This window comes from Homo sapiens, chromosome 9 (genome assembly GCF_000001405.40).
Source record: "Homo sapiens chromosome 9, GRCh38.p14 Primary Assembly".
Classification (NCBI taxonomy): Eukaryota; Metazoa; Chordata; class Mammalia; order Primates; family Hominidae; genus Homo; species Homo sapiens.
The window spans coordinates 131,253,671-131,281,164 of record NC_000009.12 but is presented as its reverse complement, the minus strand read 5'-3'; the positions used below and the strand labels follow the sequence as shown (position 1 = coordinate 131,281,164).

The following is a 27,494-nucleotide window of genomic DNA, read 5'->3' as shown; positions in this document are numbered from 1 at the left end:
TGATGACCCCAGCCTTGAAGGTGGCAAGCCCTTGGAGGACCCGCTGAAACTCTGAATGCAGAGTGGTCCATGAGAGAGAAAGAGCCTTGGGACTGTCTCTGGTGGCCACTGAAAACAAGGTCCCTATACTGCAAGGAATGCTGGTGAGAGCGCCCACTATATCCCAGTCATCCAGCCTCTGGGTCTTAGAGCCAGGCCCCCTGGTTCCATCCACCCCTCCCTCTTCACCAGGCCTCAGTGTCCTCATCTGTAGAATGGGATGATGACAGGGTCGGGTCAACCCCTGATCCCTGGGTTTCTCTGGATCAGTTCTGGGATCATTGTGGAAAGCCATGAAGATGCTGTGTGCAAAGCCCCAGCTCACGGTGATGCCTGCAAGGAGACACTGCAGCAGTCTCTTTTCCAAAGACTTCCCAGGTCCCTGCAGCTTGGCAGGGTCAGTGTTGTTTCTACTTCTGACTTGCTGTGTGGCTTTGGGTTTTCATGACTTCTCTGGGCCAATGTGCCAGGAATTGAGGACCTTGTCCTCCCACTGACAACACTTTGAGCTCCCAAGTGGCCATCCCAGTGTTCACCATCCCGGGTGGGGGATGGGGCCGTGTCTCCCCACCCCTCCTCTTTCTCATTTTTCAGAGTCCAGGGAGCCTGAGGCCTGGGGGAGGGGAAAGGGTCCTGAGAGCAATGGGAGTGCCCTGTGCTGTTGGGCAATGACTCAAACAGATGTCCCCTTCCTCTGCTCTGCAGACACCGGCACTTCACACGCGCGTGGATGCGTCATGAGCCTTCCACATATGCTGAGGCTGCCGTGGGTCTGTGCCCAACACCCACGGAGCTCCGGAAAATGACGAGCAGGAGGAAGGGCTGTGTAGGGAAGCGGCAGGGCCGGAGGGGCCGCGAGCTGGGGAAGCCACCAGAACCCTGGTGGGCGCTTCAGAAGCCAGGGCAGGGAGTGCATGCAGGAGCCGAGCCCATTCACACCCTCTGCCTGGCAGAGCTGCCCCCCAGCTCAAAGCCGGCAAACAGGCCCATGGACTGATGCTTCCTGGTCCCTTCTCCTGCAGACTGAGATGACATCCTGTGCAGGGGTGATGTCAAGGGGGAGCAGGTTAAGGGAGAGGGGTCTTCTACTTTGCAAGTCCTCACCATGTGGGCGCCCACACACCTCTGCTGGTAGGACTTCCTAGTGATCAGTCCCATCCTAGTTCTGAGGGGCTGGCCCTGGCTAGCAAGTGGGGTGTGCTTGGTGAAGAAGCTGAATGTGGGCTTTGGAGCTGGTCAGATCGGAGCTGGCATCCAGCCTCTGAGAAGTCTCTATCCCCTGATCCCTGGGTTTTTGGGTTTCTCTATCTGTGGAGCCCACTGCCTAGGGCTAAGGTCAAGGATAGAAGAGACAGTGCCTGCTCAATGTAACGCCTGACACACAGTGGGTGCTTTACAAACCCAGGCGGAGCCCAGGACGGAGGGGGCGGGGCACTGTCACTCCCAGCTGGCCTTGAAGAGAGCCCACCCCCGGGAAATCACCTCCAGCAGCTTCACTGCTCACAAGGCGGTTCAGGGCTCTGGTCCCTGTCCTTTCCACGAGAGGGACGTGCAGCTCTGGCCCTGTTCATTGAGCACTTGAACTTGTCACCTCATTTCCAGGATAGCATTCCTACCCTCACAGAGCACCCTGGCCAGGCTGTCGGGGTGATGAGAGTCGGGAAATGAAACAGACATCTCAAAAGTGAATATCGTCCCTACATATAAACTGGGTAGTGCAGTAATTATCTGATGGCACAAGAGGTGCAGAAGGCCCTGTGACTGTCAGAGGGACAGAAGGTTTTGTGGGGGCCATTAGTTCATGGAAGGGAGAGGCCATTTCACATGGTGAAGAGGCCAGAGAAGACTTCTTCCTGGAAATGGACATTTATGTAGAGCCCTGATGTAATCTGTGTGCTGTCTGGGGTTCTACTGTGTCCAACAGGCCAAGGGGGCCATCTCTGTGGCCCTGCCTTGGCCCGAGTCAGTGGGACTAGGAATAAGCCACCTACTAGCTGAACTGGAAAGGGACCACCTCCTCATTAGCTGGGGATACGGGCCATAGCAGTGCTGGGGTGAGGGTGTGGCTGGGTGAGAGGCGGAGGCCACCCTAGCCAGCCACTTCCTGCTCCATGGCTGAGCCGGTGCTGCTGTGAGATGTCCTGGTTGTTAACCCCTCAAAGGAGAGATCCAAGAGTGGCCAGCCCCTCGGTCCCTCCAGCCCTGCCCTCACACACTCAGCGTGCTCCGGCTCTGGGACTGGCTGGAAGCACCTGCCCTGTGCCGGCTGTGGGCACCTGTGGAAGTCAGAGTCATGGGGATGGGGTGGGGACGAAGAGCGTGGCTTTAATGTAGCTGCCAGATGTACTTATGTCACAAATTGCTTGGGCTTTCCCTACGGCTGGCTGGAAGGTAGGGGTGGGGTTCATAGCTCTCCCATGGCTGTACAGCCTCATGCTCCTTTTGAGCCCCTGCACTGGGACCCCTGCGGGGGGACGGGGGGAAGGACCTTGGGCAAATCCCCTAGCCTCTCAGCTCTGGGTGCCTGCTCTGTGAAGTGCACATCATCAGTCTCCCTCCACAGGGAGGCCGATGGTGGCTGAAATGATGCTCTGTACAGCGCTCATCACACAGCCGGGGTCCAACAGGCAGCCAGCAGACCTGCTCGAGGGGACCCACCTCTCCCCAAACTGCTCTCCCCTCCCCGCGACCTTCCCAGCCTTGGAGCCTACAAAGCCCCCGCGCTGTCTCCACCAAGCCACTGTCTCCCTGCGGTCAGGAACCCCAGGGCAAGGGAGCCCTTCTGCGGGTGCTCCGAACCCCAGAAAGCCTCTGGTCCATAGAGTTCAAAGGGCACTGGGAGCAGCCCACCTGGCCCCGAGACAGCAGCGGAACTACACTACCCAGAATTCCCGGGGCTGGCCAAAAAGGAAATGTCGTTTGTTCAAGGAGAGGCTCAGCTCCCCGAGCAGCTGCAGAGACAGGGAGCGAGGGGGAGCGAGGGATTACCAGGGGGAGGGCGGGCTGTGTGCGGGGAGCGAGGGTGGAGAGCCAGGCGGGCGGGGAGGAGGAGGCGGCGCCCGCCCGCCGCCGCCGCCGCCGCCTGCGGACCTGCATCCCCGCGGGGCCGGCGAGCGGGCGGCGGTCCCTGCGTGCGCCGGCTGCGCTCGGCCGGCGGCGGCGGCGAGCGGACGCGGGGGCCGGGCCGGCGCAGGGGCCGAGTTTCTGCAAAGTTTGACCCGGTTGCCTTTCCGATGCTGCAGCAGAGCGAGGCAGCGCGGGGCGCGCCAGGCGGCAGCGGCGCGGCGGCGGGGCTGAGCGGCGACAGCGCGCTCACAATGATCATAAAATAAAGGAGGCGCGCGGGGTGGGGGCGAGAGAGCCCCGAGCCTCAGCCCTCCGCCCCCGGCCGCCCCCCCGAAGCCCCAAGCCGGGAGGAGGGTGGGGGCCGGGGGCGCCCACGCCGGCCCCAGACTCCAGTAGAGCCAAGGGACAGTGCCCGGGGAAGGGGGTGGGGGCGCCCCAAGAACGTGCCCGCGGCCGGGTCAGGGGCGTCCGGAGAGCGGCTGCCCGGGCCAGCGGAGTGGCCCCCGGGGCAGGTGAGTCGGCGGCGCCGCCCGAGTGGGGGCGTGCGCGCCAAAGTTCCCCGGCAGCGGCGAGCGCGCCCGACGCGTGGGGACCCGGGGCTGCTCGCGGCTGGAGAGGGGCGACAGAGGCGCTTGACGCGGCGGAGCGGGGGCACTATGCCCTCCGAGGGCCGAGGGACCCCAGCCGGGAAAGGGGTGCCCGCCGGATCCGACGGCACTGGTGGGTGGCCCTGCGCCCAGGGAGCCGGAGGGACCGGGGTGGGGAAGGGGCACCTGGCGCTGGCGGCGCGGCGGTGGGGACAGAGCAGGGCAAGTGCTCGCCGCCCCCTGCAGCGGCAGCCGCTCGCCCCCCACCCCGCCCGTCCGGGACGGTATCAGCGGAGATGTCACGGGCGGCTATTATTCGCTGGTGCGCGCGGTCGTGCGGCCGCCACTGACGGGGCGGGCGCGGGGGGCGGGGGCCACCGCCTCCGGGGAGACCGCCCAGAGCTGCGCCGTCAGCTCCGCAGCCCGCGCCCAGCGCACACGCGTCGCCGCCCCCGCGCGCCCCCCGCAGCAAAGTTCGGCTTAACTTTGAGGCTGGCCTTGACGCGCTGTCCCTTCCACCTCCCACCAGGTCCTCGGCGGCCGCGGCGAAGCAGGCGGCGGCGGCCGGAGCGCAGCCCCGGGACCCTGCACGGCGGCCGGCAGCGACAGCGGCGAAGGGACGCGGCGCCCCTGCGTGGGGACGTCCGGCCCGCGCCCGCGAGTGGGCGCCGACGGGGACCCGCGCCGCGCTCCCCCGTCACCGGCGAGCGGCCGGAGCCCTGAGCTCGCCTCCTGGAAGCCGCGGGTCGGCGCTCGCCCCGAGGGCGCCGGGACCTCGGCCGGGTGAACACAAACTGCTCTGCAATTGATTCGACCGCGCCGGGCGGGTGCGGGTGCGGGGCCCGGAGGGAGCGCGTGCGGAAGGCCGGAGGGCAGGAAGTCAGGCTTCTGCCGCGAGGGTGGCGCGGCCGCGCGGGGACAGAGCCTTCCTTATTTATGAGTCTGCCGGCGCTCGCCTGCTTCCTCCGAAGACTTCAGGGAGAGTCTGCGAGCTGCCGTCCCCGCGTGTGAGGCACAGAAGGGCTGGATGTCAGAACCGCATAATTATTCATTAAACTACAAACTTTTTTTAACCCAAAGAATATCGGTGATTTTTGTCCACTGCGAGGAGAAGAAGAGAGAGCCCAGGGCTCATGAAATGCAGCAGAATCCTTATTTATAAACAGGCCGCGGTAGTGATATATGCAACCCCAGTCTACTCAGTGAGTTTTCTATCCTATGGATATCGGTCTTGAGAGTTGAGATTGGAGAGCAGCGCCGTCTGTACTGGGTCCTGCAGCCTCTGTCCTTTCAATGCCTGGTTTTTTCTGTGACTGCTGGCCTTCCCTGGAGATCAGAGCGCTCCTGTATGCCATGGGCTGTATTCAGAGCATCGGAGGCAAAGCCAGAGTCTTCCGGGAAGGGATCACGGTGATTGATGTGAAAGCCTCCATCGACCCCGTCCCCACTAGCATCGATGAGTCCTCCAGCGTGGTGCTCCGCTACCGGACACCCCACTTCCGGGCCTCGGCCCAGGTGGTCATGCCGCCCATCCCCAAGAAGGAGACTTGGGTAGTTGGCTGGATCCAGGCGTGCAGCCACATGGAGTTCTACAACCAGTACGGCGAGCAGGGCATGTGAGTACGGCCGAGAGCCAGCTCTGGGAACTGCTAGGGATGGCCGAGCTTGGAGGCCTGGTGGGGGGCCGCGGATAGGGGGAAGGTGGAGATACCATGAAGACAGGACGGAGGCCAGAGGGAAGCTTTAGGCAGGTATGCAGGTGGCCTCATTGGCCCGGTGGCTCCCTGAAAAGTTTGCCTGTGGATCCAGATTGGAGTCACGGTCCTGCAATCTACCCTGCCACTGTTCCCCCCGGGTTCCTGTGTCCTTCCCTGCAAGATGCCGAGAAAGCAGAGAGACATTACTCCCAGTGTTTCCTGGCAGAGCAAGTGTGCCGTCCGCCTGAGGAGTGTCTGTGCCATCAGGGGTCACCAGAGAGGCTGCAGGGCTGCCCTCCAGGCCTCTGGCCCTGTGCGGGCCCATGGCAGACATTCAGGCACTCTGCAACTCCCAGACCGGTGTGTTCAGGGCTTTGCGATTGGGCCTCAATTATCTTTCTGGCTTTTACCAGTGTATGCCAGGAGCTGGGGGAGTGCTTCCCCGTTCCAAACGGCACTGTGTTTGAGAGCACAGTTAGTTTTAGAAGCCCGATTTCTTCACAGTGTATCGCTTTCTGTCTCCAAGGCAGAAGACCGCTTTATGCAGACAAGTCCAGTGTCCCTCTGGCGAGGCCCTAACAGGAACAGCAAAGAGGAGCCTCTCCTCTGCAGCCCCAAAGCCCGGTCTCCAGAGTGTGCCTAGGGTATTGGGGGTCCCGGTGAGGACCCTGGGACCCTGGGGCTCCTTTCCTGGCCTGCTTCCTGACCCCAGAGAAGGCCGTCCCCAGGGTGAAAAGAGCTGCATTTAGGCAGAGTTGGGAGAGTGACTTAATCTGAAGGTTCACCCTAAGACAGGGATGGTGAAAATAGCTGTTTCTGAGCGTAAGGACCCTTTGGAGAGAGCTAGGCAGGCCCCGGCGGGCAGCCCACCCATGCGGCCCCGTGACTGGCCGCTGACACTCCCAGAACCTCTCTCAGTGTCTACCCTGTGGCCCCGTGACTGGCCGCTGACACTCCCAGAGCCTCTCTCAGTGTCTACCCTGTGCAGCTTCACGTCCCCGTTTTGCAAGTGGGGAAAAGAGGAGAATTTCCCCAGGAGCTGGAACTTATCACAGATTTAAGAATCTCATGGGCCACCTGTAAATGAGAGGGGTGGAGGATGGCGGGACACCAAGTCTGGTGGCTTCTCTACTTAATGACTCCAAAGTTCTAAAGGAAACATGAGGATCACAGTAACCCTTAAGTCCAGCGTGTGACAGTGACTGTCCCAAAGAGGTACATGGGGGGCACATCTAGAGGCTCTCACCGGCCCTCTCCACCAGCCTGATTTCTGTGCCAACCCCTTTGTGTCTCAAGAGCAGCTAGTAATCCAGTTCGGGGGAGGGGGTGCTGCCTTTCTGTTCTAAGCAGGGAAACATGATTCTTAGTTATGCAGTGAGGACCTTTTCTAAGAACGCTTAAGCCCAGAAACCTCCTCGGGCTTTGAAGGCATCGGGACAGTTGTAGAAACAAAAGTTTTCCTCGGGGTTTTGGGCTAAGCCTAGTTTCTTCCCTGGAAGGGGTAAGGAAGCCAGTGGGTTCTTCTGAACTTGGAAAGACATGAGCACTCACGGGACTGGATGCTAATGTGGTTGGTGCAACGTGTGGTGGGGAGGCCACAGGCCTGACCCAAGGTACAGACTCCAAGCCTCAGCTTCCCCATCTGTGCACATGGGCTTCCGATGTCTTGTCTAAGACTTGTTCTCCATCTGGTGACCCTGAGTAGGTGTGGGTGATGTGGCTGGAGCTAGGCCTGAGACTGGGACCTGAGACAACCCTGCCCTCCCTGTCGCAGTCCTGGCTTCCTGGTTGGAAGAGCCTCATGCCTTCTTAGGCAGATCTGGGCGGGAGGCCAGGTTCTGCCACTCTCCAGGATGTGGCCCTAGGCAAGTCCCTTTACTGCTCTGACCCTCAGTTTACACATCTGCAAACTGGGGCTGGCAAGAACCCCTTCCCCATGGCTTATTGTGAGAATCACTCAAGCTAACCAAATTCGCCATGCAGTCAGCCCTGCGCCAAGCTGGTGGTGAATACTTACCGCAGGCAGTAATGGGATGGGGATCATCCTTAGCGGTGTTGTGATTGTTACTGTTATTCTATCAGATGTGAGTGGCTAAAACTACAGAATTAGGACAGATGTCAGCCACACCGTGTAGTGAATTTTCTCCCCAGGCCGAGTCTTTCTCTGTCACGTAGGGCCCACTTCCTGAGTTTAAAACTTTTTAAAGCAGTGTAAGGCATGAAGAACTTGCGTTTTAAAGTGGCTCCAGGCCATTTTCCTTGTTCTCTCTCTGCCCCTGATGTTTCTCTTTGCTCCCTCTCGCTCTCGGGACTCCTCTTTTGCTGCAGGGAGCCTCTGTGTCCCACCCAGCTCATTCTCCCTGGGTGCACTGGCTGTGCAATCCCGGTTGGGATACACGGGGACCAGCCCCAGGGACAGGATGGAGTCAGAAGCTTCCTGGGAGGGGCGGCTTGGAGCAGTCGGGCAGAAGGGTCCACGTGTCTTGGCTCCTAGGCCTTGGCCAGGCAGCCCCCGGGGTTCCGTTTGGTGTCCGTCCATGAGGGGGAGAACTTCCCGTAGGCTGCTGTGAGGATTCAGCGAGAGGCCAGTATGGGTGACCGTCCTGTGGCTGAGACGTAGAGGAGGAGGCTGCCGAGTACTTGGTAGTAATCAACAGAATCATCCTAAGGGGCCGAGTTACCAAAGAACAGAGTCCCGGATTCAACCTGCACCCTTGAAGGGCTCATGGAGAAGGCCAGGATGCGGCCTTGCTTTAGCTCCTTGCTGAATGGAAATAGAAGCATTTAGGTGGGATTTAGTTATCTTTTTTTTAATTTTTATTTATTTTTATTTATTTATTTTTGAGACAGAGTCTTATTCTTGTCGCCCAGGCTGGAGTGCAATGGTGCCAATCTTGGCTCACTACAACCTCTGCCTCCCGGGTTCAAGTGATTCTCCGGCTCCAGCCTCCAGAGTAGCTGGGATTACAGGCATGCGCCACCATGCCCAGCTAATTTTTATATTTTTAGTAGAGACGGGGTTTCACCGCGTTGGCCAGGATGGTCTCGAACTCCTGACCTCAGGTGATCTGCCTGCCTTGGCCTCCCAAAGGGCTGGGATTACAGGTGTGAGCCTTGGGTGGGATTTAAAACCCCCTTCCTGTCTCCCCTGCCCCAGGCCTCCTGTGATGACTTCCATTTTCCAAGTTTTTAAGCCTTGTGGCATGAAAAGGAAAGGGAACAGTGGTTGGGGTGACCAGAAACCCCAACCAGCCCAGAATTGTTCCTCTGCTCTGCCTGGCCCAGGGTCAGGTAATTCTGTCTGTGCTGGTGGGGGGTGTCCTGTGCATGGTAGGGGGCTGGGCAGCATCCCTGGCCTCTACCCACTCCATGCCAGGAGCACATCCCCGCAAGCTGTGACAGTCAATAATGTCCCCAGGGAGGGCCTGATGTCCCCAGGAGGGGCTATGAAATCACACCTAGTGGAGAACCACTGGACTTGACCCAGACAATTCACATCCTTAAAATGAAACCCAGGCCCTGTGCTTTAGTGGCCCGGGGAAGGGACAGCTAGGTAGCGAGAGCTAGGTTAGGGCTTTCATTCTTTACAAATGGGCTTGTATCCAAAATGTTAATTCCAAATACTTAACCAAAATCCATAATACCCCCAAACGTTATCCCTGCTTAAAATTAATCCCTAAGCCAAGAGGATAACTTTTTAGAATGACATTCTGGGTTTGAAATATTTGAAATGGAACAATTAAAAAAAAAAACCACCATCTCAATAATACCCTGACTTTTGCAGACAGAGCTGGAAAAGAGTGAGTTTCTCTGTGCCAGCATGAGAGGATTCTATATGGCTTTGGGTCCAACCCACATTGCTTTAAAAGCCAACCCCCCCCATCCAAATTGTTGGAGACACCTGCCTCCACAGCCCGGCCCCCGCAATTCCTCAACTGCCACCTGTCAGCTGGCACAGAGTCTTCTAAGTGACAAGTCACAATTTCTCGCCTGTGTGGGAGAAGTTCCACGTTGTCCCTGGTTTGCCCTTCTCTGGAGCCCCCTGGGAACCTGGCCCACAGCCACGCCCATGGCCAAGGCCAAGGTCAGGGGCAGTTTATGGCTCAGGATTCTGCCAAAGGGCAGACTGGGCGGGGAGGAGGGGGAGCAGCTCAGATAGAAAGGGTTTCTTTGGGTGGATGGGGACACTACCCCATGCCCATGTATGGCAGGGTGTGAACTCCAGCTCCCAACCCTTGGGCCAGCCTCTTAACCTTTCCAAGCCTCACTGTTCCCATCTATGACATGGGAATATGAGTCTTCTCTCATAGGCTTGTGATGATAAGACCTTAGCCCAGCACCTCACGAATACCAGGCACTCAATATATGGTAGCCGTCAATACCATAGCTATGAATCGTAATACTAATAATGTCTTATGCATTATGCGATGCCTGTCGGAGTCACCGGAAAGGTGGCTGCCTCGTTGCTGTTGTTACATTATCCCTTCTCCTGGGTTTCAGATACCTGTCTATAGCATGAGTGCTGTCACTGTGTTATGAACGGCCAGTGGTCAGCCTGGACTACACAGTGAAACCTTGTCCCTACAAAAAATACAAAAAAATTAGCCAGGCATGGTGGCATGTGCCTGTAGTCCCAGTTACTTGGGAGGCTGAGGTGGGAGGATCACCTGAGTCTGGGGAGGTCAAGGCTGCAAGTGAGCTGTGATTGCACCACTGCACTCCAGCTGGGGCAACAGAGTGAGACCACATCTCAAAAAAAAAAAAAAAAAAAAAAGACTGGTGGGAAAGGACAGGGCAGGGGTGGAGGGACCGCTGGGTGCCACCCTGTCCTGCTGGGATGACGCTGAGAATGGCTGCCTCGGGCGCCTTCCCACCTGCCGTCTCCCAGCGTCCTCCCCAGGAGCTCAGGAAGGCCTCATTTTATGATGTGGTCACAGCTTCTAAGACCTGAAGCTGGTTGCCAGAGCAGTGTTGCTCAGCGCCAGCAGATCTGGGGACAGGCCATGGAGGAATGTCCCTGTTGACCACGTGGCCTCTTCCTGAAGCCGGGGTCTGAGCGTCAGTTGTGCAAAGAACAATTGAGGAGGAGGCTTCCTCTCTGTAACCGGAAGGCGGCCTCCCCCATCTGCTGGGCCCTGGCGGAGGCAAGGGCGGGGTGGGTGGGAGAGGGAAGTCCTTGTTTCAAGGCTTTGGGGTGGGAGGAAGTAGGGGGGATGACCCAGCCTAAAGAGAGCTCCCCCAGGACCAGCCCTGGCCAAGGGATTGCTGCAGCCCTCATCCACCTTCCAAGCACTGGAAACAAACATTGGAGACCAAGTGAGGCGTCACTCAACAGCCGTAGTAATCAGGGAAATGACAAGTTACATACTGATATCCTTTGTTTTGCTGATTGGAGTTGGGTGCATTGAAAAAGATCAGTCGTGCCCAGTGTTTGGGGGAAGGAAGCGTCTTCACCTGTTGTTTGTGGGAGGACAGTTGAGGCAGGTGAGGATGCTGAGAGGTGAGCTCAGCTGTGCCTGTTACCGTCCACATGTGCAAGCCCTTCAGCTCGGTGGTTGTACTTGTTTTTGAGATGCAGTTTCACTCTTGTCACCCAGGCTGGAGTGCAGTGGCATGATCTTGGCTCACTGCAACATCCGCCTCCCGGGTTCAAGCGATTCTCCTGTCTCTGCCTCCCAAGTAGCTGGGATTACAGGTGCCTGCCACCACACCTGGCTTTTTTTTTTTTTTTTTTTTTTATTTTAGTAGGGATGGGGTTTCACCATGCTGACCAGGCTGGTCTCAAATTCCTGACCTCAAGTGATCTGCCTGCCTCGGCCTCCCAAAGTCCTGGGATTACAGGTGTGAGCCACTGTGCCCGGCCTGTACTTTTAGAGCCTCTTGTAGAAACTTTGTGCCCCTAGCTCAGGGCCTGCATATTGGAGGCAAAAAAATAATCTACTGAACAAGTGAGTTAATGATCACGCGAAGGGGAGAAGCAGCACATAAAGATGCACATGGGCTGGGCCCGGTGGCTCACGCCTATAATCCCAGCATTTTGGGAGGCTGAGGCAGGTGGATCATCTGAGGTCAGGAGTTCGAGACCAGCCTGGCCAACATGGCGAAACCCTGTCTCTACTAAAAATACAAAAATTAGCTGGGTGTGGTGGTGCGTGCCTTTAATCCCAGCTACTCAGAAGGCTGAGGTGCAAGAATTGCTTGAACCTGGGAGGTGGAGGTTACCGTGAGCCGAGATCACGCCACTGCACTCCAGCCTAGGCAACAGAGCTAGACTGTCTCAAAAAAAAAAAAATGCACACGTGAGGATGTTAACTCCAGCACGGCTCCTAATAGCAAAAAGCCAGGAACAACTCAAGTGTCCCCTCAAGAGGGAGTGAAATTATGCTCTGCCTGCAGTGCAGACTCTGAGGCAGGGCCATAGGCGATGAAGACAAGTGGGGAAATGATACATTGTTGTTACATTTTTGTTTAAAGTTATCAAACAATATGTAGGGTAGTAACCCATTTTTGTTAAAAAGAAAATACTGAAGTTGGGAACATATCCTGTGTGTGTATGCAGAGAGCAAGGTCTCAAAGGATGTTTACCAGAGTACATGGGGCACATGGGGAGGGGCGCATGGGGAGGTAGGTTTCAGTTTTCACTTGATACACTTCTTTTTTTTTTTTTTTTTTTTGAGACGAAGTTTTGTTCTTGTCGCCCAGGCTGGAGTGCAGTGGTGCTATCTCGGCTCATTGCAACCTCTGCCTCTCGGGGTTTCACCATGTTAGTCAGGCTGGTTTTGAACTGACCTCAAGCAATCCACCTTCCTCTGGCTCCCAAAGTGCTGGGATTACAGGCATGAGCCACCGCGCTCGGCCTAAGAGCACTTCTTTTTTTTTTTTTGAGACGGAGTCTCGCTCTGTCGCCCAGGCTGGAGTGCAGGGGCGCCATCTCGGCTCACTGCAAGCTCCGCCTCCCGGGTTCAAGTGATTCTCCTGCCTCAGCCTCCCGAGTAGCTGGGACTACAGGCACCTGCCACCATGCCCGGCTAATTTTTTTGTATTTTTAGTAGAGACGGGGTTTCACCCGTCTCTGTCTCGATCTCCTGACCTTGTGATCCGCCCGCCTCGGCCTCCCGAAGTGCTGGGATTACAGGAGTGAGCCACTGTGCCTGGCCAAGCACTTCTTTTATAACTAAAATTAAACAGGCGCTGTTGGTCTTTCCTCCCCTTGTGAGATCCCAGTGATCCACAGCTGTGCCTGGGTTAAGGGGAGTGGGGTTGGCAGGGAGAAGGTGTCTGGGTCCCAGAAGGAATGGGGTTTGTTGTGGTGGGGGAATCCCCGTGGGCAGGCCCTGTGGGAGGCGAGACCTCCAGCCCCTCCCTCAGCTGGTGAGCAGGTACTGGGGAGGCCAGGAGAGCAGGGCCTGGTGACCCGGTGGTGGTGGGGACAGCCCAGGGGGGCGGCAGTGCGGGGGGGATGTCAGGAACCCAGGATGCCTGTCCAGTGTGGAATGGGGGCTCTTGGGCATTCGTTTCTGTAAAATTGTAAAGCTTTTACAGAATGAGTACTTTCTGCAAATTTTATCAGATTATAAAATCCATACTGTTGGGGAGTAGGTAAAATAATTCCTAACTTCCTGCCCAGCCTGTGTGAGGGACTGAAACCAGGACTGAGCGGGAGACTGTGTGACATGGGCAGATCCTTGCCCTGGAGCCTCAAGTCTTTTTTTTTTTTTTTTTTTGAGACAGAGTCTCACTCTGTCGCCCAGGCTGGAGTGCAGTGGCGCCATCTCGGCTCACTGCAAGCTCCGCCTCCCGGGTTCATGCCATTCTCCTGCCTCAACCTCCCAAGTAGCTGGGACTACAGGTGCCTGCCACCACGCCCAGCTAATTTTTTTTAAAATATATTTTTAGTAGAGACGGGGTTTCACCGTGTTAGCCAGGATGGTCTCGATCTCCTGACCTTGTGATCTGCCCGCCTCAGCCTCCCAAAGTGCTGGGATTACAGGCGTGAGCCACCGCGCCCGGCCTGGAGCCTCAAGTCTTTATCTGTAAAGGTGTTTCTTAAGGTGCCCAATGTGAGCCACTTGTAGGAGGTGGGATAATATTTGAGTAAATCATTTAAGGTTAAGGCTAAATTTTATTTTAATGCAACATATTTATTGCCTATTAGAACATATATCTGTATATCTGTATATATAGCATATCCAACCTGTTATTTCAAAGTTGTTTCTAAATTTAGTTGATTTTGTTTCTTTCAGAGACAGGGTATCACTCTGTTGTCCAGGCTGGAGTGCTGTGGTGCAATCCTAGCTCACTGCAGCCTTGACCTCCTGATTGCTCAAGCAATCCTCCCACCTTAGCTTCTCGAGTAGCTGGGAGTATAGGGACGCACCACCATGCCTGGCTAATTTTTAAGTTTTTCGTACAGGCGAGGGTCTCTTGCTTTGATGCCCTGGCTGGTCTTGACCTCCTGGGTTCAAGCGATGCCCCCTCACCTCCAGCCTCAGACTCCCATAGTTGAGTCTTTTAAAAGGTGATCAGGCCAGGCACGGTGGCTCATCTCAACAGCTTGCGAGGCTGAGGTGAGAGGATCGCTTAGGTTCCATTAGAGGCTGGTGGGGTAAGAGCTGGGTCAGGTTGGGGACCTTGGCCCAGTTACTTCCCAGTTGTGTGACCTTGGACCCGGCCTCTCACTGCCGTAAGTCTCCTCTGTTAAATGCTCCCCACAGCCCCGGCCCCAGGGAGGTGTGGTGCCTGGCGCAGCCCGTGTGCTCAGGGAGTGGTACCTGCTGTCACCGCGTGCTAAGGTGACTGTCCAACAAGAGGCTTTTGCAGCTGCAGCCCTGCAGGATAAGCAGAAGCTCAGGGCAACTTTGGGGGCCCTGGACTCCTCACAGAGATGCCCTGTGGGCTTCGAGGGAGACCCAGCGTGCACTGACAGCCACTGATCCTGGCCACAGACATTATGGTGCCTGAAGCTGGGCCAGGTGCTGTGATACATCCCAGATATGTGGTGATGGGCGAGGCAGGCCTGGCCCTGCCCTCACGGCCTCGTGGTCTGTCTAGGGTAGAGACTGGCAGCAGATGAGTGCATCAGTATTTAATCACCCTCATGAACAGGCCACGGGGCAGTGGGATGAGATCCAGTGGCGTTGAATAGCAGGAGGCACCTGGCCCATGTGGAGGGTCCAGGCAGGCTTCTTTGGGGTGGTGGCTGCAGAGCTGAGTGATGAGCAGCTATGAGAGAGGAGAGGAGGAGGAAGTGGGGGGGAGGAGGAGGAAAGAGGAGTGGAGGAGGAGGAGGATGAGGATGAGGACGAGGATGACGCTGCTCCCGGTAGAAGGCCCTGAGAGGGAGGAGCATGGCCCACTGCAGCAGCTGAGAATGGCTGGGGCCCTGGAGCCCAGGGAGGGCGTGTGTGTACATGCACGTGTGTGTGCTTGTGCTGTGCACGTGTGCACACACGCAGGGCTCTAGGCTTCAATTGCGTCGGTTTTAAGGGCATAGGGGAGTCATGGCCGGTTTAACAGGGTTGGAGCCATGCCATCGGATTTGTGTTTTTAGAAGATCCTTCGGGCTGCTTCTGGGAGGGGAACAGATTGCAGGAGGCTGGGAGACCAGGGAGGGGTAAGGCCATGGTGGAGGCAGAGGAGGAGAAGGGGCACAGCCTGGAGGGGCGAGGGAGAGTCCAGGATGGCGCTGTGTCCCGGAGACACAGGCCTCCCCGTTGCCAGCCAGGCCAGTGGCTCTGTCCACCCATGTCAGGGCTTCGTGAGACATGGAAAGCAGGTGCCCTGCAGATGTTTGTTGGGTGGGTGATGATGGGACTCAGGACAGGGACGCTGCGGGAGGCTGAGGAAGCCACTTCAGCCCGGGAAGCATTCTGACGCCTGGGTTCCAGCCTGGACTTGCCTGCTGTCCTTTGGGGTCCCTAGGAGGATGGGAGTGTGACAGGTGGCTCTGCCTGCCTCTGCCCACAGCCATGGAGGTGAACGGCCTGCTGGGCTCCTAGACTGGACAGCTGTCCGGGGCCTGCACTCAGAAGGGCCCTGAGCGTGGTTCAAGGCTCTGCCGTCTCAGCATTGAAAATCTCAGGTTGTTTACAGCCAGGTGCGGTGGCTCACGCCTGTAATCCCAGCACTTTGGGAGGCCGAGGCGGGCAGTCACCTGAGGTCAGGGGTTTGAGACCAGCCTGGCCAACATGGTGAAACTCCGTCTCTACTAAAAAAATATAAAAATTAGGCCGGGCATGGTGGCTCACGCCTGTAATCCCAGCACTGTGAGAGGCTGAGGTGGGTGGGTTACCTGAGGTCAGGAGTTCGAGACCAACCTGAATAACACGGTGAAACCCCATCTCTACTAAATAATTAGTCCGGCATGGTGGCACATGCCTGTAATCCCAGCTACTTGGGAAGCTGAGGCAGGAGAATCGCTTGAACCCAGGAGGCAGAGGTTGCAGTGAGCTGAGATCATGCCATTGCACTCCGGCCTGGCCAGGAAGAGTGAAACTCTGTCTCAAAAAAAAGGAGAAAGGTGGTTAAGATATTGCTTAACTTTAGACTTTTAAGTTAAAAATAATCGGAAAATTTCAAGGACAACTACTAAGAGAACAGAATTAGAATGTTTAAATCCCCAATAAGTACCAAGAAGAAACAGAAGAAAAATACCAATAAAATCTGTAATCAAAAGAATGGTGGACAAAAAGCACTAAAAAACTCAATAGAAATTTAATAGAGAAGAGAAACAAGTTCATATAAAAATAATTCGGCTGGGGACGGTGGCTCACGCCTGTAATCCCAGACACTTCGGGAGGCCAAGGCAGGCAGATCACCTGAGGTCAGGAGTTTGAGACCAGCCTGGCCAACATGGTGAAACCCCGTCTCTACTAAAAGTACAAAATTAGCTGGGCGTGGTGGTGGGTGCCTGTGGTCCTACCTACTCAGGAGGCTGAGGCAGAAGAATCACTTGAACCTGGGAGGCCGAGGCTGCAGTGAGCAGAGATCCCGCCACTGCACTCCAGCCTGAGTGACAGAGTGAGACTCTGTCTCAAAAAAAAAAAAAAAGGTCAGAAAAGGCTTCAGGTCAAATTAGGGCTTTGGGTCAAATCAGGGCTACCTGGTCTGGGAGAGGCACACTTCTAACTGCTGATGCCACCCTCAAAGGGTCTCCAGAAGCTTCCACTGACTGCTGTTGGCTGCACCAGGCAGTGAGTATCAGTACATTTAATCATCACAAAAACCGGGCAGGCAGATGTTGGCGGATTGTCTGTGGGCTGCTGAAGAGCTGGTAGAGCTCAGCGCGTCTGTGACTGGACCACAGTGCGAGTAGCTGGGGCTGACAGTGGACCCTGGGCTGCTGCACCCGCTGCAACCCCCAGGTGGAGGGATCCACGCAGCCTGGTGACGATTTGGCCCTGGCCCTGAGCCATGCCCCGCGTGACGCAGTGCTGTCTGCCAGCCTGGGAGGCTCCTCACCTGTCTTTGCCTGAGCCAGGGCCTGGGAGTTTCAGGACTGGGAAAGGAAAGAAAACCCCAAGGCTGGGGTCAGGAAGAGGAGGGCTATTTTGCTGCTCAGTCCTGCTCCCCCAAACCAGACCTTCAGCTCTTTGCAAACGAAAGAGGGGGCAAGGCCAAAGCGGGGTTCCTTATGCAAGTTTGCTTCCTGCCCTGAAAAACCAAAAAAACGGAAAACTTTTCCAAGCAAGTGTAAGCACTGTGTGAGGACAGAGTGGGCGTTTCCTTCTGAAATAGGAGACTAGGCCCCCAGTGGGCAAAGAGACCCTGACCCGCTTCTCCATCTGTGCGGGGGAATGAATGAGCAGGCTCACCCTGTTGTCATCCTGCCTGCTGCTGTGGGGCCCCCCTAGATCTTAGGAATTGCTGGGTACTTCCGGACAGTGAGGTTGTCTGAGCTGCCTGCAGGTTCCCTGAGTCTGGGTACTCAGGGGCTGGGCAGGAGATGCCCATTAAGCAGGTGTTACTCTAATGAGTGAGCTTTTCAATGAGATGAACAGGAAAATTAGCAAAATCATGTTCCTAATCATTCCTCCTGCGGCGGCCCCAATTTTGCTAACTGTTAACATTATATGATGCATAAGTAGGGGAATGCATTTTTAAAATTATGGTAAAGCCTATGTAACATTTTATAAAATTGACCATTTTATTTTATTATTAATTTTTTTTTTTTTAAGACAGGGTCTGGCTCTGTCACCCAGGCTGGAGTGCAATGGTATGATCTCGGCTCACTGCAACCTCTGCCTCCCAGGTTCAAGCGATTCTCCTGCCTCAGCCTCCCGAGTAGCTGGGATTACAGGTGCCTGCCACTACGCCCAGCTAATTTTTGTATTTTTAGTAGAGACGGGATTTCAGCATGTTGGCCAGCCTGGTCTCGAACTCCTGACCTCAAGTGATCTACCGTGCCCAGCCAAAATAGACCATTTTAATCATTCATAAGTGTACAGCTCAGTGGCATTAGGTCTGTTCAAATTGTTTTGCAGCCTTCACCACCATCTATCTTCAGAACTCTTTTCTTTTTCTTTTTTTTTTTTTTTGAGATGGAGTCTTGCTCTTATCGCCCAGGCTGGAGTGCAGTGGTGTGATTTCGGCTCACTGCAACCTCCGCCTCCTGGGTTCAAGCGATTCTCCTGCCTCAGCCTCCTGAGTAGCTGTGATTACAGGTGCCCACCACCATGCCTGGCTAATCTTTGTACTTTTAGTAGAACAGGGTTTCACCGTATTGCCCAGGCTGGTCTGGAACTCCTGACCTCAGGTGATCCACCTGCCTCGGCCTAACAAAGTGCTGGGATTGCAGGTGTGAGCCACTGCGCCCAGCCCAGAACTCTTTTCATCTGCAAAACTGAAACTTCGTCCCCAAGAAATATCAACTTTCCGTTCCTCTTTCTCCCAGCCCCTGGCAACCTCCATTCTACTTTCTGTCTCTATGAATTTGACAACACTAGGGACTTCACATAAGTAGAATCACACAGTTTGTGTTTTTTTGTGGCTGGCTTATTTCACTCAACATAACGTCCTCAAGGTTGATCTGTGTTGTAGCCTGTGTTGGAACATCCTTCCTTCTTAAGGCTGAAGAACATTCCATTGTACGTATGTAGCACATTTTGTTTATCCATTTATCTGTCGTTGGACACTTGGATCGCTTCTGCCTTTTGGCTATTGTGATTAATTCTAGGAACAGGAATGCATTTTTTTTTAGAGGTAGGGTCTCACTGTGTTGGCCAGCCTCGGCCTCCCAAAGTGCTGGGATTAGAGGTGTGAGCCACTGCGTCCAGTTGGGAGTGCTTTTTTTTTTTTTTTGCAGACAGAGTCTCACTCTGTCACCCATGCTGGAGTGCAGTGGCACAATCTCAGCTCACCGCAAACCCAGCCTCCCAGGTTCAAGCAATTCTTCTGCCTCAGCCTCCTGATTACAGGATTAGAGGCATCTGCTACCGTACCCCGCTAATTTTTTTTTTTTTTTTTTGGAGACAGAGTCTCACTCTGTCGCCCAGGCTGGAGTGCATGGCGTGATCTCGGCTCACTGCAACCTCTGTCTCCTGCCTCAGCCTCCTGAGTAGCTGGGACTACAGGCGCATGTCACCATGCCTGACTAATTTTTTCTATTTTTTTTAGTAGAGACAGGGTTTCACCATATTGGCCAGGGTGTTCTCAAACTCCTGACCTCATGATCCGCCCCCCTTGGCCTCCCAAAGTGAATTTTTGTATTTTTAGTAGAGACGAGGTTTCACCATGTTGGCCAGGCTGGTCTTGAACTCCTAACCTCAAGTGATCAGCCTGCCTCAGCCTCCCAAAGTGCTGGGATTACAGGTGTGAGCCACCACGCCCGGCCAGGAGTGCATTTTTAACAGTAGCTTGTTCCTGGGAGTACCCGCTGTGCACGTAGGTGAGCAGAAGGCGCAGTGGGCGCAGGGTGTCCTGAGCTTCCCTGTTACAGGTGCCTTGGTGGAAATGCGCCGGGGTCCCAGGCCCCACCGCTTGGCCAAATGTCCTTAGGAAAATGTAGCCTCACTCTCCACCCCCAGCCCACCACTTCACTTTCTGTATCTGCCGGGTGGGGTTGCATGGAGAAGATTGTCTGTGAGCCTGTAATGTTAAAGTAAGGGGCCCCTACAGTCTGGGGTGGGCTCCCAGATGCTACTATATCCATGGCCACATGGGAGTGTGGGATCTGTATGTCCCTAGAGCAACTTGGGCCAGGCCGGCCACCTTCTTCTGTCTGAGGGTTATGATTGTAACAGCAGCAGTGATGACAGTGACTCCGAGCTACTGTCTGACCCCCTGCCCCCAGAACGTCAAAGGGGACCGGGTGGTCTGCTGGGTCCGTTCCATCCTCAGGGCCCAGGACAGCCCCTGGCCTGCCAGGGGGACACAGAAAGCCCTCCTTGAGTGACCGAGTGAGTGAACTGGCCTTCCTTGTCCTCAGGTCCAGCTGGGAGCTCCCCGACCTCCAGGAGGGCAAGATCCAAGCCATCAGCGACTCGGATGGGGTGAACTACCCCTGGTACGGCAACACCACAGAGACCTGCACCATCGTGGGCCCCACCAAGAGGGACTCCAAGTTCATCATCAGCATGAATGACAACTTTTACCCCAGCGTCACATGGGCCGTGCCCGTCAGCGAGAGCAACGTGGCCAAGCTCACCAATATCTACCGGGACCAGAGCTTCACCACCTGGCTGGTGGCCACCAACACCTCCACCAACGACATGATCATCCTGCAGACGCTGCACTGGCGCATGCAGCTCAGCATCGAGGTGAACCCCAACCGGCCCCTGGGCCAGCGCGCCCGGCTGCGGGAGCCCATCGCCCAGGACCAGCCCAAAATCCTGAGCAAGAATGAGCCCATCCCGCCCAGCGCCCTGGTCAAGCCCAATGCCAACGATGCCCAGGTCCTCATGTGGCGGCCCAAGTACGGGCAGCCGCTGGTGGTGATCCCGCCCAAGCACCGGTGACAGCCAGGACCACCCGCTAGGTTAGACTCACAAATAATAATACCGCTGAAAACAAAACTCAGACTCACTCTTCAGTCATTCAGCAAGATACAACCATTCTACCCTCTCCAGCGGGCGGATCTCACTGTGCTGATGCCCCCGGGAAGGCCTCCCCGGCTCTCGGCACCTGCTTCCTTTCAGGGAGAGGGGAGATCTAAGCAGGACAGACAGACCCCACGTGCGCCCTCAGGGTGACCTCTGGTCTCCTTGCCTCTCCTTTTTCTCAGTTTCAGTCGCTCACTTGTAACAGATTCCCTGAAACACTGCTTTTTCCGTTTTTTAAAAAAACTCCTCTTTTGGGGGCTCAGGGGCAGGAGGAGGGGGAGCTGATTAGGAGGGAAGCTCCAGCCCCCGATCAAAGAGACAGATCCACACTGCTGCCGATTTGTGGCGCTGGCCGGCCTTCCCCCCAGGTCCCTCCGCCCTCTGTCATGCGGCCTTATGTAGACTTGCTTTGCCAAACTTTTGCCTTAAGCTGAATTGAAAGGAAGAAAACCAATCGGAGAAAGAAAGCAGGATCTCTTTTCTACCGGACTTTTCCTCTTCTGCCAGAGGTGGAGGGAGGGTTGGGGTCGCCCGCGAGAGTCTCTTGAGCCCTTCTTCCCGGTTGTCTTGGGAGAAGGGTGAGGATGGGCATTTAGACCCGAAACCAGCTGCTCACTCTTTCTTTTTGGCAGAAATAAAACCACAGGTAGATTCTGCCTGAACAGCCCCTTCTCTCCCTCCACCCCCAGGTCGTATCCCTGCACCTGCGGAGAGGGGCTGTGAGCTCTGGCGGGGGGTGGCTCCACCAGTCGCCTGGCCTCTTCTCCCCTCTCTTCCCAGCAGCCTTAACTTCCCTTGGGCGGCTCTAGGAGGAGAGAGGCAGGCTCCTGTGAGCCCAGGGAATTTTCACCCTCTCAGTCCTCAGGACCCACCCCCAGTTGAGTCCCTGGCCCTTCCTCCAGGTGTGTGGCTTTTTCCTTCTCCATCCACACTGGTCCCAAATGCCTGGGGGCCGGCCACCTGGACCGCCGACACACAGCCTCAATGTTAGTCTCAAAGGTAAGGAAGGCATTCACGTCCCTTCTTGCAGGGCATTTTAAGACTTGAATCGGGTGGGCCCCGGCCCCTGTGGCTGGCTGGCCCCTGGTGTACTGTAAAAGGGCCAAGACAGGGCTCGTTCTCAGGGGCGCCCCTCCCAGGCCCTCAGGGCAGCGGGACGGTGCAGTCAGGCTCTGGGTGCCACAGTGATGGAGGTGGAAGGCACCCAAGCTCTAGGGAAGTCTTGGGAGGCAGTCGGCCGAGCCCCTGCTTCCTGTCCTCAAATAAGTGAATCCAGGCCAAGGGCTGGGAGGGCTGGGTGGGCTTATCGTCGAGAGGGTTCAGAGCCACTCTGGAGGCTGGGCTGGCACAGTGGAGAGCAACAGGTGAGGACAGACGTCTGGAAGCCCATCCCTGGGACCTGCCCTCCCTCGGTCCCAGGTCACTGGAGCTCCAGGGCTTACTTAGTCCTGACCCATTGTGCCAGGGTTCTGAGCAGTGTCGGCCTTGTGGCCACTTGCAGGGGCTATTAGGGGACATCCCGCTGAAGCCACGCTCCTTCCAGCTTGCCAAACCCACAGCTACCCGCCCGGGACCCACACTCAGCCTAATAATTATCAAGCACAGAAAACCGTCCATTTAGAAAAATAATCCATTTCTGCTGCAGATGAGCCACTTGTAAGAGTCTCCGTGACAGCGTGGGACGGTGTGGGAACCAAAGTCCCTGCCCTGCTCCTTTGTCCACGGGCTATTGCGTTTATTCAAGGGGTGCTTAATGACCGTTTAGCCACTGCCGTCGGTCTCCGGGCCCAGCTCGTGCCAGGAGGCTGTCCTGGGACACACTGGGCTGGAGCTGCCGGCTGGCACGGTGCTCAGGGGGCCCCTGATGGGGGCCAGGACCTCCCCGCAGAAACTGCAGGTTCTCTTGTGAGGATGGAGGCCGTGCCACCCCGAAAGGCAGTAGCCTTAGGGGAACAGTGGGTCCCAGCTGCATGTCTGAGGATGGGTGGGGACAGGGCTGGGACTCAGCTTTCATTCACTGGAGACTTCTCCACTCAGGTCTTTGTTGCACTAAAGCAGGGACAGGACCCTGGGGGTTCAGGAAGCGGGTCTCAGGCCGCTGGTTTATTCCTGGAGGTGGGGCTGGAGACCAGAATGGAAAGGGGCTTCCTGAGCTGCTAGGGGGTGAAGGACCCCCGAACCCGCATTTCTTGAGTGAGAGCAAACACTCGAGGCAGGAGCCAGCACCCCTCCCACTGCATGCCCGGCCCCCAGCCCACCTTGCCCCCTGACCCACCTTCACCCGTGCCCCTTCTTTCTGCCCTTCCTCACCGAAGAAGGGCTAGGAACACCCTGGAGAGGCTGCAGGTCCGGCCACGGACGCTCAGCTGAGCCCCGGTCTGCTCCTTCAGCCTCCTTGCTCATGTTGGAGCACAGGCCCCAGGCTTCCTGCCAGGGCCCCGATTCTTCTTATGTCCTCCAGCCCCGCCCTGGCGTGGACATCCACTCACTCCTTCCAGCAATAAGAACCGTCCTTGGTCGTGGAGAGTACTGTGAAACAAACCAATGCACTTACCAGGAGGCACAAGACTCTTGAAGAAGATGTACAATGAACCTTTTTTTTTTTACAAAAAACAAAAAGCAAATATTCATAAAGAGAAATAAAATGTAATTTTAAAGTAGGCTTGGCTAGGTCCTGGATGTTTCTGAAGTGGAGATTCACTTTGGGGTGGGTGGCTCAGCGGTGCTGGCTGCGGGGGTGAACGTATCTGGGGGGCAGGAGGATGGGCTGAGGCTGGGATCCCCGTACTCAGGGCCTGGGAGATGGGAGGAGGGAGCCAGCCTTTGAGTCCTGCTCCTTCCAGCTGCTTCTGTTCACAGCCCCAGCTCCAGCGAGAGCAGCCCTGCGGTCTCAGCCTTGCACCTGGAAGTGCCCCTGCCAGTGCCCTGCCTGGAGGGTGGTGGGCTTGGAGGTAGAGCTAGGAATTGGGGGCAGCTTGACTTTTTGGCGAACAGTAAAACCCCTATGTCAAGGGCGATTAAGGTTTAGATTGACCCTTAACTTGGGCCTGCAAAGCTGTCTTCTTGTGGACAAGCAGGACAGTGTCAGTCTGGACGGGGGCTCCATGCCCTGCCCTCAGCCAGCAGCTGTTGAGGGGTCCTGTGGGGCCCCAGCCTTGAATGGATACCATCTTATAAATGGAGCTTTCTTGTGTAAACATGGGTGGGGGCCCTGGAGGTCCTGGAGTGGCTGTGGGCTCTGAAGGTAGATCACAGGTTCAAGGCCGTTTATGTGAGCTTGAGCCCGACACTCAGCCCCTCTGAGCCCTACTTACTTTGTATGGAAAAATGGAGATGTGGCCAGGTGTGGTAGCTCGCACCTGTAATCTCAGCGCTCTGGGAGGCTGAGGTGGGTGGATCACTTGAGGTCAGGAGTTTGAGACCAGCCTGGCCAACATGGCGAAACCCCGTCTCTACTAAAATACAAAAATTAGCCCGGTGTGGTGGTGGGCACCTATAGTCCCAGCTACTCAGGAGGCTGAGGCAGGAGAATCACTGGAACCCGGGAGGCAGAGGCTGTAGTGAGCCGAGATTGCGCCACTGCACTCCAGCCTGGGTGACAGAGTGAGACCCTGTCTCAAAAAAAAAAAAAAAAAAAAAAAAAAAGGAAAAAGAAAATGGAGATTTTCAGAGGAGCTGCCTCCTGGCGGATTCAGTGGAAACTCCCTGTTCTTTCTGGGTGCGAACTCATTGAATCCTCATGACAACCCCACAAGGGAGGTGTTAACTGCCACCCCCATTTCACAGACGAAGGAACGGGGAGAGTGGACGCCAAGGAGCTGCCTGAGACCACATAGCTAGGGGAAGGCGGAGCCAGGATTCGAACTCTGGCCACAGAGCCACCTCTCGCCATAGCGCACTCTCAGTCTTGAGCCTGAGACGGTGGGGCCATGTGCAGTGTCCAATAACATTGGTGACTGTTACTGAGAAGGTCCCAGGCCTCTGCTCCCCCATCCTGGGTGCCCCGGGCAGGAAGTGCACCCCCCTCCCCACCCCGGAAGTCTCGGGGCAGTCAGTTCTTTCTGGCCCACAATGAGCCCATCTGATTCCCTTTGAGCAGGGGCCGGCTGCTGCACCCACCGCACACAGGCTCATCATCCAGGGTGGGCAGTGGCTTCTCTGCACCCCCACGGGGACAGGGAGGCCCCATGCACTCTGGGCATCAGAATTCGGGTCTTCTGTGGGTTCTCCACGTTGCAGCAAACCAACGGCGCTCACATCCTGCCTCCTGGGGCTGAGACACCAAAGCAGGAAATTGCATAACAGGCATTGCTGGCCGAGCTCCACGCAGATGGCTCCTGGGTGGTGCAGTTCACTGTCGTGGTTTGGCTTCTCGGTGTGGAGTCGGCTCCTGAGCTCTGCCCATGAGAGACTATGGTGTGTGTGTGTGTGTGTGTGTGTGTGTGTGTGTGTGTGTGTGTGTGTGTGTGTGTGTGTGTGTACAGAGAATGGGATGCAGGCCTAACCTGATAGCAGGGTTTCAGAAGCTCAGGAGAGCAAAGCCTTCATGCAGAGGCGCAGTGAGACGGGAGATGGGGAGACGCAGCTGAATCTGTGGGTAACAGTTTCGAGAGGGAAATGTACAAGGAGGGAGTTGTGAGTAAAGTGGATTCCAAGTGGCATTTAGTCACAGAGTGGAAGCCCTCCAGCCTCTCCAGCTGACAGCAGGTGAAATTTAGAAGTCCAGACTGGGAGAAGAGGCACAGACAGTAGATTCTGCCCAGCTGTCACGGGTTCCTCTCCAGGATCTGGGCCTGGGAGAGCCGGCTGTCTGGGCCAGGCCAGGCTCACCTGCCTGAGACATCCAGGGTCTGGGAGAAGCAGCTGCACAGCGACCCCATAACATCTCCACCTCCCACTTTCAAAGTCACTTCTCAGGAGAGCCTCTTCTGCTCTGGGGCTGTTTTAAATGGGACAGAGACTTGCTGTAGTCTGGGCCATGAGGCCAAACAGGAAAGCCCCTCTTGGAGCCCAAAAGAAGACAGTTTCATCAGGAAACAAAAAAGCTGATGGCCTGGCGGGGTGCGGTGGCTCACGCCTGTAATCCCAGAACTTTGGGAGGCCAAGGTGGGTGGATCACGAGGTCAGGAGTTCAAGACCAGCCTGACCGACATGGTGAAACCCTGTCTCTACTAAAAATACAAAAATTAGCCAGGCATGGTGGCGGGTGCCTATAATCCTAACTACTCAGGAGGCTGAGGCAGGAGAATCGCTTGAACCCAGGAGGCAGACGTTGGAGTGAGCCGAGACTGTACCACTACACTCCAGAGCCTGGGTGACAGAGTGAGGCTCCATCTAAAAAAAAAAAAAAAAAAGTGTGATGGCCTGTGGCGCTTGCAGGCCCTCGGAGGTTTCTAACAGCCCAGGTGATCTTCTGTCGCCTCTGGCTTGGTGGTTCTCTTGGTCATCCTCTATCCTGCTTGGGCGCCCCCACAGAAATGGCTTCCCACCTGGTTGGGGTCTGGGCATAGGATGAAAGCAAATATTTTACTGTGTGACAGTCCAAAAATTGCCCATCAGGATCACAGGGCACAACCAGCCACTCCGGTGCTGTCCAGGCCCCTTCCTGCCACTGCTGACCCTTCAAGTATGCTCTTCCCCTTCAATCAGTGAGGACGCTGCCCCACAGAAGGGACCAAGGGGCTTGCCAAAGGTCACTTTTCTGGGAAGATGCAGAGCTAGGCTGGTTTCAAACACCCGGCCTTTGACCCCGTGCTTTGTCTCAGCTCCTTCTATGACACCCCAGCCTTCTGGTACCCCAGTTCTACCAGACTGCCCTCAGCTGTCCTGTTGCTAAGGTTCCTCGGCATGACGCTGAGTCCGAGTCCTTAGCAGCCCTGTTGACCCTGGACGATGGAAACTTTTTTTTTTTGAGACGGAGTTTCACTCTTGTCCCCTAGGCTGGAGTGGAATGGTGCAATCTCAGCTCACTGCAACTTCTGCCTCCCGGGTTCAAGCAATTCTGCCTCAGCCTCCTGACTAGCTGGGATTACAGGCGCTCCACGCCACGCCCGGCTAATTTTTATATTTTTAGTAGAGATGGGGTTTCACCACGTTGGCCAGGCTGGTCTCGAACTCCTGACCTCAGTGATCTGCCCGCCTCGGCCTCCCAAAGTGCTGGGATTACAGGCTTGAGCCACTGCGCCCGGCCGATGGAAACTACTAAATGCAAGCGAACACGTCGGAGTGAATGAACTCCATCTCTGTGCCTGTGTGCAGGGAGGTGAACCCGAAATCAACATGGGAACTGGCGAAGGCCAGCCCAGCTCCCTTCAGGCCCAGACGGCACGACTTGGAATGCAGAGGCAGGATTAGTTCCTGTATCAGCCTGAGCCCTGGTTCTTATTTCATGTTCCCTTTTCAATCAGACAGAAGAAGGGTGGGTGTTTACGGCGGGCCAGACACAGCTGGGAGCCCTGCACTATTCCTGGCTGCCACTTGCCTTGCTGAGTGAGGCCAGGCTTGTCGCTCAACCTCACATGCCTGAGTTTCCTAATCGTCAGGCCAGAGACACGCACACTTACCCTGTCCTCCCCGGTCCGGGGCCCAGCAAAGGCATAGCAGTTGTGCTCCGTGTTAAACATGCAAATGGAGCCCCCAGAATAATCACACTGAGCACCAGGGCTTAGCTCAGAGACCAGGGACTCTTCTCTCTAAATACGGCTCAATTCTTCTGCAACATCTAGACCACAGGGGCCTGGCTTAGTGATGTGGGATTCTCAGCATCCATGACAAATGCAGACTGAATGCTGGTCAGACAGTCACACAAACGTATTAAAATGCTTTACCTCAGCTTTATTGGGATACAGTTCACATACCACACAACTCACCTATTTAAAGTACGGTTCTGGCTGGGTGTGGTGGCTCCTGCCTGTAATCCCAGCACTTTGGGAGGCCAAGGCGGGCAGATCACCTGAAGTCAGGAGTTCAAGACCAGCCTGGTCAACATGGCGAACTCCTGTCTCTACTGAAAAAAATACAAAAATTAGCAGGGCATGGTGGCACACGCCTGTAATCCCAGTTACTCA

The 27,494-nt window shown here is 56.0% G+C and overlaps 1 protein-coding gene across 19 annotated transcripts, besides 17 other annotated features; it reads left to right on the top strand.

Annotated features, from left to right (window-relative positions):
* The first annotated feature begins 119 nt into the window (after positions 1–119).
* On the top strand, positions 120–23,087 carry FAM78A (family with sequence similarity 78 member A). 19 transcript variants are annotated; one of them, NM_001400592.1, is made up of 5 exons: positions 10,610–10,705; positions 16,538–16,581; positions 17,566–17,687; positions 18,428–18,474; positions 19,815–23,087. In NM_001400592.1, exon 5 carries the CDS (start codon positions 19,963–19,965, stop codon positions 20,341–20,343), a length of 381 nt encoding a protein of 126 aa, NP_001387521.1. In that variant the 5' UTR covers positions 10,610–10,705; positions 16,538–16,581; positions 17,566–17,687; positions 18,428–18,474; positions 19,815–19,962; the 3' UTR covers positions 20,344–23,087. The 19 variants fall into 19 exon arrangements, with proteins under 19 accessions (XP_011516870.2, NP_001387510.1, NP_001387515.1 ...); NM_001400586.1 differs by lacking the exons at positions 10,610–10,705; positions 16,538–16,581; positions 18,428–18,474 and adding exons at positions 3,395–3,825; positions 4,222–5,308 and having other exon boundaries at positions 17,570–17,687; XM_047423250.1 differs by lacking the exon at positions 18,428–18,474.
* Positions 2,846–2,945: an enhancer, noted in NCBI's record as "active region_29184". NCBI's record gives its function as "activates an Ori minimal core promoter by ATAC-STARR-seq in GM12878 lymphoblastoid cells {active_cell/tissue: GM12878}" and the evidence as "EXISTENCE:reporter gene assay evidence [ECO:0000049][PMID:35858748]".
* Positions 3,306–4,485: a silencer, noted in NCBI's record as "silent region_20411". NCBI's record gives its function as "represses an Ori minimal core promoter by ATAC-STARR-seq in GM12878 lymphoblastoid cells {active_cell/tissue: GM12878}" and the evidence as "EXISTENCE:reporter gene assay evidence [ECO:0000049][PMID:35858748]".
* Positions 5,126–5,625: an enhancer, noted in NCBI's record as "active region_29183". NCBI's record gives its function as "activates an Ori minimal core promoter by ATAC-STARR-seq in GM12878 lymphoblastoid cells {active_cell/tissue: GM12878}" and the evidence as "EXISTENCE:reporter gene assay evidence [ECO:0000049][PMID:35858748]".
* Positions 5,126–5,940: a biological region, named in NCBI's record as "H3K27ac-H3K4me1 hESC enhancer GRCh37_chr9:134150612-134151224".
* Positions 5,328–5,940: an enhancer, noted in NCBI's record as "H3K27ac-H3K4me1 hESC enhancer chr9:134150612-134151224 (GRCh37/hg19 assembly coordinates)". NCBI's record gives its function as "activates a minimal SCP1, AML or CMV promoter by ChIP-STARR-seq in naive H9 embryonic stem cells {active_cell/tissue: H9 hESC(naive)}" and the evidence as "EXISTENCE:reporter gene assay evidence [ECO:0000049][PMID:30033119]".
* Positions 5,786–5,835: an enhancer, noted in NCBI's record as "active region_29182". NCBI's record gives its function as "activates an Ori minimal core promoter by ATAC-STARR-seq in GM12878 lymphoblastoid cells {active_cell/tissue: GM12878}" and the evidence as "EXISTENCE:reporter gene assay evidence [ECO:0000049][PMID:35858748]".
* Positions 5,866–5,915: an enhancer, noted in NCBI's record as "active region_29181". NCBI's record gives its function as "activates an Ori minimal core promoter by ATAC-STARR-seq in GM12878 lymphoblastoid cells {active_cell/tissue: GM12878}" and the evidence as "EXISTENCE:reporter gene assay evidence [ECO:0000049][PMID:35858748]".
* Positions 5,926–5,975: an enhancer, noted in NCBI's record as "active region_29180". NCBI's record gives its function as "activates an Ori minimal core promoter by ATAC-STARR-seq in GM12878 lymphoblastoid cells {active_cell/tissue: GM12878}" and the evidence as "EXISTENCE:reporter gene assay evidence [ECO:0000049][PMID:35858748]".
* Positions 6,056–6,105: an enhancer, noted in NCBI's record as "active region_29179". NCBI's record gives its function as "activates an Ori minimal core promoter by ATAC-STARR-seq in GM12878 lymphoblastoid cells {active_cell/tissue: GM12878}" and the evidence as "EXISTENCE:reporter gene assay evidence [ECO:0000049][PMID:35858748]".
* Positions 6,116–6,175: an enhancer, noted in NCBI's record as "active region_29178". NCBI's record gives its function as "activates an Ori minimal core promoter by ATAC-STARR-seq in GM12878 lymphoblastoid cells {active_cell/tissue: GM12878}" and the evidence as "EXISTENCE:reporter gene assay evidence [ECO:0000049][PMID:35858748]".
* Positions 7,676–7,745: an enhancer, noted in NCBI's record as "active region_29177". NCBI's record gives its function as "activates an Ori minimal core promoter by ATAC-STARR-seq in GM12878 lymphoblastoid cells {active_cell/tissue: GM12878}" and the evidence as "EXISTENCE:reporter gene assay evidence [ECO:0000049][PMID:35858748]".
* Positions 10,026–10,145: an enhancer, noted in NCBI's record as "active region_29176". NCBI's record gives its function as "activates an Ori minimal core promoter by ATAC-STARR-seq in GM12878 lymphoblastoid cells {active_cell/tissue: GM12878}" and the evidence as "EXISTENCE:reporter gene assay evidence [ECO:0000049][PMID:35858748]".
* Positions 12,164–12,326: a silencer, noted in NCBI's record as "fragment chr9:134144226-134144388 (GRCh37/hg19 assembly coordinates)". NCBI's record gives its function as "represses an EF-1alpha promoter that drives an FKBP-Casp9 reporter gene in an ReSE screen in K562 erythroleukemia cells {active_cell/tissue: K562}" and the evidence as "EXISTENCE:reporter gene assay evidence [ECO:0000049][PMID:32094911]".
* Positions 18,413–18,462: an enhancer, noted in NCBI's record as "active region_29175". NCBI's record gives its function as "activates an Ori minimal core promoter by ATAC-STARR-seq in GM12878 lymphoblastoid cells {active_cell/tissue: GM12878}" and the evidence as "EXISTENCE:reporter gene assay evidence [ECO:0000049][PMID:35858748]".
* Positions 24,516–24,695: an enhancer, noted in NCBI's record as "active region_29174". NCBI's record gives its function as "activates an Ori minimal core promoter by ATAC-STARR-seq in GM12878 lymphoblastoid cells {active_cell/tissue: GM12878}" and the evidence as "EXISTENCE:reporter gene assay evidence [ECO:0000049][PMID:35858748]".
* Positions 25,076–25,225: an enhancer, noted in NCBI's record as "active region_29173". NCBI's record gives its function as "activates an Ori minimal core promoter by ATAC-STARR-seq in GM12878 lymphoblastoid cells {active_cell/tissue: GM12878}" and the evidence as "EXISTENCE:reporter gene assay evidence [ECO:0000049][PMID:35858748]".
* Positions 26,782–27,283: an enhancer, noted in NCBI's record as "H3K4me1 hESC enhancer chr9:134129269-134129770 (GRCh37/hg19 assembly coordinates)". NCBI's record gives its function as "activates a minimal SCP1, AML or CMV promoter by ChIP-STARR-seq in primed H9 embryonic stem cells {active_cell/tissue: H9 hESC(primed)}" and the evidence as "EXISTENCE:reporter gene assay evidence [ECO:0000049][PMID:30033119]".